Source organism: Homo sapiens, chromosome 13 (assembly GCF_000001405.40).
Source record: "Homo sapiens chromosome 13, GRCh38.p14 Primary Assembly".
Classification (NCBI taxonomy): Eukaryota; Metazoa; Chordata; class Mammalia; order Primates; family Hominidae; genus Homo; species Homo sapiens.
Genome location: NC_000013.11, coordinates 59,391,024 through 59,398,389, shown reverse-complemented (window position 1 = coordinate 59,398,389; position 7,366 = coordinate 59,391,024). Strand labels below are relative to the sequence as shown.

The 7,366-nt window shown below is 38.0% G+C and overlaps 1 annotated feature.

Moving 5' to 3' along the window:
• Window positions 6,469-6,578: an enhancer, noted in NCBI's record as "active region_7798". NCBI's record gives its function as "activates an Ori minimal core promoter by ATAC-STARR-seq in GM12878 lymphoblastoid cells {active_cell/tissue: GM12878}" and the evidence as "EXISTENCE:reporter gene assay evidence [ECO:0000049][PMID:35858748]".

The window sequence follows — 7,366 nt, the reverse complement described above, 5'->3', positions numbered from 1 at the left end:
CACAAAAGTGGGAGGTAGTGTTGTCTGCCTTTTTTCCAGAGGCTGGCTGGCACAGTACTCCCCTTGAGTTTCTGCCAAGGCACATCACTAAATAAGAAGGAGGTAAAATAAGGATAAGATTTAACTGCTTCTTTCCAGGGAAGCTTGGAGACAGTATCACTTCCTTTTTTTAAAGTTGGAGGCAGTTTTATTTGTTTAGGTAAATCCCATGGGAAATGAATAAGTAAAGTTATCAACTGACATGCTTCAGAGGCTGAAAATAGATCCCAGAACATGATTTCCTTTTTGTTTATCAACCATATGTATTTATTCCTGGTTTTCTTCTCATAGGCTCCCGGATTGGGGGAGTCAGAGATAGTAATAGCTGAAAAGAACTGATCTTTTTTAGTTTGCTTGTTTTTGGGAATTATCTCCCCAACATTTTATTTAAAAAATTTTCAAACGTACAGTATAATAAGCATTTTTCACATTTGCTTTCTCTCTCGCTTTTTCTCTTTTTTTTTTTGGCTGAAAGTTTGAAAGTAAGTTTCATGCAGAATCATGATACTTTCTCTCAAAATATTTTAACATACATCTCCTAAGAACAAAGATATTACCCTATCATTATCATATCCAAGGTATTTAACATGCATACAATAGTATATTGTAACATGCAGTTCAATTTCAAATTTCCCCTAGTTGTCCCAATAATGTTTTTTTATAGTCATTCTTCTGTTAAATCCAAGATCCAAGGAAGGATAACACATTGTGTTTGCTTCTCTTGTTTCTTTAGTCTGTGTCCATCTAGAACAGCTCTCCCTTGCCATTTTGTAGTTTGCAACATTAATATTTTCGAAGACTCCAGGACAGATGTCCTAGAGAAAGTTCCACAATTTGAATTTGTCTGATACAATTCTACTAAGGCAACTGTGTTCAAAACCTACTTAATTATTTCTCTTTTTTTGTGTGTGGTTATATTATCAAGTTGATATATAGTTAGATTCATTTGTTTCTGTTTGATTTCAATTTTAAGAGTTTGCTTTTGGTAAGTCCTTTTTAATATAAATTTAAATTTAGAATTATGAAACATTTACATGATTCAAAAGGCAAAACTTCATTTAAAGTGTCTGTTCAGAAGTTTTATTCCTGCTTCTTTCTCCAAATTTCCATCCACCCCTTATGATAAACCATTTTCATTAGTTTCTGATTTGTTCTTCCTATATTTTATTTTTTAAAAATAAGCAAAAAAGTTATACATGAATTATATATACACATAGGTATATATGGGTGTATATATATATGCATAGGTATATATGTGTGTATATATATATGTGTGTCTATATATACATATATATTTTCTGCCCTATGGGAAACATATATAAATATTATCTATCAATCTATATATCTTCTGTGGCTGTGCATTTAGGTTTTTCCCAATATTTGCTATTACAAATAAAGCCTTAGCAAATAATCTTGTGCCTATGCTGTACTTGTGGAGGTGCAACTGTGAGTATGGGTGCCATGCTATACCAAAGGTAAGTGCATGTATCATTTTAGTACATATTGCAAATTGCCCTCCATAGGGTTGTATCATTCTTCACCTCCACAAGCAATGTGTGAATGGATCTGGCATGAATCTGAACACTTTACATTATCTCACTGAATCCTCACAACAACTTTTCCTTATTATGACATTATTTCTTTGTTTTGTGACCCTTATGTATACGTGGGAGATTAAGGCTCAGAGATCTTCAGTAATGTCTCCAGGGTTGTATGGTAAGTAACTGGCATAGCTAGGATTTGAACCAAGATGTTGACTCCAGACTCATGCAACTAACCACCTCACTGTACCATATACTCCTTACATTAACTTTCTTGAATCATATTTTTGGTGTATGGATAGGATTAATAGGAAATTTCCTATTCCCAGAGATGATGTTCCTGAAAACCTCAAGGACTTCTGGAGAATCAAAAGAACTTACTAACTTAAGGAATGCCAGAGAAGTAAGAGAACAGCTTTCATGTTCATGCTGTTTCTTAAGGAGATGAGTGTTCAATCCAAGTCCCTAGGTCTCATCCAAAGATTCTAACCTAGTAGGTTTAGCTATGACAGCAAGAGTCTTTGAAAGAGGAGAAGTTGGCCAGGTGTGGTGGCTTACACCTGTAATCCCAGCACTTTGGGAGGCTGAGGCGGGCGGATCACGAGGTCAGGATATTGAGACCATCCTGGCTAACACGGTGAAACCCATCTCTACTGAAAATACAAAAAATTAGCTAGGCGTGGTGGTGAGCGCCTGTAGTCCCAGCTACTCAGGAGGCTGAGGCAGGAGAATGGCGTGAACCCAGGAGGCAGAGCTTGCAGTGAGCCAAGATCGCACCACTGCACACCCGCCTGGGTGACAGAACGAGACTCCGTCACAATAAAAAAAAAAAAAAAAAAAAAAGTTTTAGGAAGGCTCCTCTCTCGGAACAAGGCACGAGAGTACAGAGAGTTGGATCCAGTTCTAAGGCAGAGTGGGCTGCTGGGAGGAAAACAGGGAATCAAAACCAAGGTAAACAATTTAGGATTTGGGGCAGGCTCCAGTCCCAGCAGAGAACTGGAAAACAAACCAGGAACCTGGAGAGGCTCTTAGGACCAGACTTAGGGGGTCAGCTTTTCCCATGACAGAGACAAGAAGTAAATAAACATTTCAGATACAGATAAATGCTATGGTCCAGCACAGTAGAATAGAGAGGAGTTAGGATGTTTAGGGAAGACCTCTCTGAGAAGGTGGCCTTTGAGGTAAGATATGAACAATGAGTTGGCCAAAGACCTGGGGGCAAGAAACTTCTAGGCAAAGAAAACAGCAAATGCCAAGTCCTGAAGGGAAAATGAGGCTGGAAAAATACGTTACATAAAGTCTGGTAAAGCTGGAATAGGTAAAGTTGGAATAGATAAAGAGGAGGTCAAAGGCACAGATCAGGCGGGGCCTTTGTTTAAGGTAAAAGAATTTGGGCCAGGTGCGGTGTCTCACACCTGTAATCCCAGCACTTTGGGAGGCCGAGGCGGGCGAATCCCGAGGTAGGAGTTTGAGACCAGCCTGGCTAGCATAGTGAAACCCCATCTCTACTAAAATTACAAAAAATTGCCGGGCATGGTGGTGGGTGCCTGTAATCCCAGCTACTCAGGAGGCTGAGGCAGGAGAATTGCTTGAACCTGGGAGGCAGAGGTTGCAGTGAGCAGAGATCGCGCCATTGCACTCCAGCCTGGGCAACAACAGTGAGACTCCCGTCTCAGAACAAAAAAACAGTTTGGACTTTATTCTAAGTGCATCTGAGCATGCTTGGGGGAGGCAAGTTTTGATGGATTTCTGGAATGTGTTGCAATTTAGTCATCAGGAAATGTATTTAAATTCAGTTCTATGAGGTATGATAAGTTCTAAGGAGACAGGAATAGAAATAACTGCTATTGATTGTATATACTCATTTAAGTAAGAGTTATGCTATGGATTGAATGTTTCTGTCCTCACCTAAAATTCATGTTAGAACTTTAATCTTCAGCAAAATGGTACTTGGAGATGGGGCCTTTGAGAGGTAATTAGGTTATGAGGATGAAGATCTCAGGAAGGAATTAGCGCATAAGAGACCTAAGGGAGCTTGCTTTCTCTCTTTACTCTCTGTTGTGTAAAATGAGAAGACAGCCATCTCCAAACCAGGAAACAAGCCCTCACCAGGCACCGGAAATGACAGCACCTTGATCTTGGAATTCCCAGACTCCAAAACTGTGAGAAATAAATTTCTGTTGTTTAAGCTGCTCAGTCTATGATATTGTTTTTTAATATGTATAGCAGCTGAACTGACTAAGACAAGTTTTTTTTTTAAGGCAGGGTATAATAAGAGGCTGAATGTAAGGTTTGGCCAGTGGTGTGAGTTAAAGGACATTTACACAAAAATAAGTACCTTGCTACTCATGCTTATTGCCCCCAGATGATTTATCAAGCCAAGTATATTCTTCACATTCTAGTAAGGATACAGTACTTGTTCCAGTACTATATGCATAGTAAACATATTTCATTTCATGGAAAGAAGAATTTTAAAATATCTTGCTATGTGCCACATGTGAAGCTCAGAATGTATGCCACTGATGAATTCAAATAGAGAGTACAATTTCCCCACACCCGGTTCATCAAATTTTCATTTTTTGTGTGTGTGACATCAGGTAACATAAGCTTTCTTTTGATTATGTCTCTCATTTTGCCCTCAGTATTTTTTTTAGATTCCTGAAATCAGAGAAGTTTACCATTAAGTGAGAAATCTAGCTATATTGGCATAAATCCTGAAGAAAGAATGAAAAAAAAATGGCATCATGCCATATCCTAATCATGATAGAGCTAAAATAGAGTAAATGGCAAGAGTGTAACTTAGAAGAAACATTGAAATGAAATGAATGACAGTAAATATATTTAAAAGTCATGACAGGCACATCAAAATAAGGATAATTTAGTACTAAGTCATCTTTATAAGGAAAAAACTCAAACATAAAATTTAACATTTAAGCAAAATCATTATTAGCCAAGTAAAAATTCAGTAAGAACACTAAAAACATATGCTTTACACATTTTAACTTTTCTTCTTAGGCTGATCTATAAGGTATGTCAATGATCCAGGTATTTTTAAATATCTAGGTGTTTGATACCATGTAGACAAAAACTGCAGACATTTGGCTCAATTTTCTATTTTCACCCGGCTATTTAGAATCATATAAATCATATAGAATCATATAAAATCATATATCTTATAAAATCATATAAATCATATAAATCATACAAAATCACACAGCATGAACTATCTTTTCAAATCGTATAAATTAGGCACAGACCATTTTCCTTGTAGGCAACATATAATAAAATCAGAGGAACGACCATAGAATCAACTAAAGATGATAGCTGTTTAATTATGAAAGATAATCATTGATTAGTTGATAGTTCTTTATACAATAAACATTTTTAAAGAAGTCCTTCTGTGGAAATTTACCTGGCAGATACTTGTGGCTGTCAAAGGGTGATAATATTTGGCTGATGGAAATAGACAAAGTACACAAGTAGCTTTAATGCAGGTAAAAGATAGTATTTATTGTACACAGATGGCCTCTTATTGTGGAGGTACAGCAACCCTCAGGGTTGAAGAATGATGATTTCCTGGACTTCAGATCCCCCTGAGGATGCCTGGTGGACCCTGGCAGCATGTAACTGGGATAAGAAGTGCTTCAAGCCTGCCCAAGAAGCTTTTTCATTTCTAAAGGGATTCCTTCTTGGTTTTTGCCAAGTTTTATGGAGTCTCTGGCTCCCTATTCACCTATCCCTAGTGTACTGTACTCCTGCATGTTAGCTGTGAGCCTGGCTAAACTGTAGACCAGCTTCCCAGGCATCTTATCCTCCTAGTAGGTCTATTCCTATAGGCTGTTACTAGTTCCACTAGTTCCTTCTACACACAGATGCACACACACACACACACACACACACACAGAGAAAGCTGGAAGAATTTGAATTTGTTACTAAAGCAAGAAGTACAAAATGGAAAAATCAGTCTAAGACTATAGAATGTTGTCAGTTTAATTGATTGAAGCCATCCTAATGATACCCAGGGTCTGTCAGTGGTTAGACTTGATCTGATGGGCAATAGGGAATCATTGTACATTCTTGAGGAAGGGAGAACTAAGATGAAAATGATGTTTGAGAAAAATACTGATGGATTCTTTATAGTGGCCTGGAGATGGGATAAATGGAAGAGAAGTAAAATAAGTGATATAGGCATGAGAAGCACAGGTTTGTCTACCTTTCTCTACTACCTTCAACAGTTTCAACAATTGGCTATGTTCCTAACTTGAGTCAGGAGCCTTTTATAGGTGATCTCACTGGGAGGTAAGATTTAAAGGGAAATGACTGGAGGCAATCAGGTAGAGCAAACCTGTCTGTTCTCTAAGGGGCCAGCAGACATGAATGTGGTGGCTAGATGTGGGGACAAGAGTTTCTTAGAGAGCTAAGTTAGCCTTAACAATCACAGAGGCTGAAAATATTTGAGAAATGCCTATATATAATGGGATGGTGAAGAACTGACTTAGCTTAGGATATAAGATTATCCCCAGGGGATCTTGGCATAGAGTCTAAAGAAGAGTCTAAGGAGGATATACAGCTCATCTGTGTCCGTCAGAGTACAGCCAGGACATAAAATACACACCTGTTATTTTAATAGAAGGAGTTTAAAATAAAGATTTTTAACTAGGAATTAAAGAAATGAAAAGGCAAAAAGAGAACACTAAGTATAACCCTAGGCCTGGAGGATGAGGGAAGAAGTTGAAATTATTAACACTTAGTGACTTGGAAGAGAGGCTCTGCAGAGCTGGTGAACCAGAGAGGTGAGATGAGGCTGGTCTTTAAGCGTTGGAAAAATTGCAAACTGGAATCAGCTATTCTACTGGAACAAACCAGTGTAAGGGTTGCTAGAGTGACATAGGAACAGGAAACTAAAATAAGAACAGAAAACCAAGACAGGAGCAAGACACAAACAGGAAGTGTTTGTGGTCCCTGCCTTTAGCCTAGCTGTCTCCCTCTGGTGCCCTCTAGTGACAATGCCTAACAGAACCTCTGGCAAAAGAAAAATAAGAGTCTCAGCCCTAGCATTACCAAAGGGAATATAGAAAAATGAGTTTGATGCTGAGACAATAGTCTAATAACGGGGCAGACATGCATATTCACTAGTTGGTAGGATGAGTGTCATGACTAGAGTGAAGTGACGAGAAGACACTCAGTCATGGACATTCTGGGACAGAACATAATTGAGACAAACAATGAGGTCAGAGCCTCTTCCCAAAGGAAGACTTATATCTTGAGAAAATCTAGAAGCTAGTGATAAATAATAATAATGCTATCAACAGCATTATTTCATGAGTTCTTTCTATGAGCTAGACAAAGTTACGGCCCATCTTATTTAATCTTCACAACAGTACTAAAATGGTAGGTAGATATTATTCTACCCATTTTGCAGATGTGGAAACAGGAGTCAGGCAGAAGAATATCTAGTATGGTTGATAGATCATGATTGAAACCCAAGTTTTTCTGATTCTATGGCCTAGGAACAAAAGTGTTACTTGGGTTTGACTCATGATTTTCAGCTTCATCAAATTGCTTAAAAATCACTATCAGGGATTGCTTTAGTAAATTTCAACTATCAGCATGGGAGAGTACGTATAGAAGAACATGGGGAAAATTAAAACTTGCGTTGAGAATAGAAGTGCCCATACAAAAAACATCTACAATTACATGTGAGGACTTTGTAGCAACCCTGTGCATGCTCCACAAATATTGTGTAATAAATATACCAGTGCTGGATACAGGTTAAGGTGGCAGAT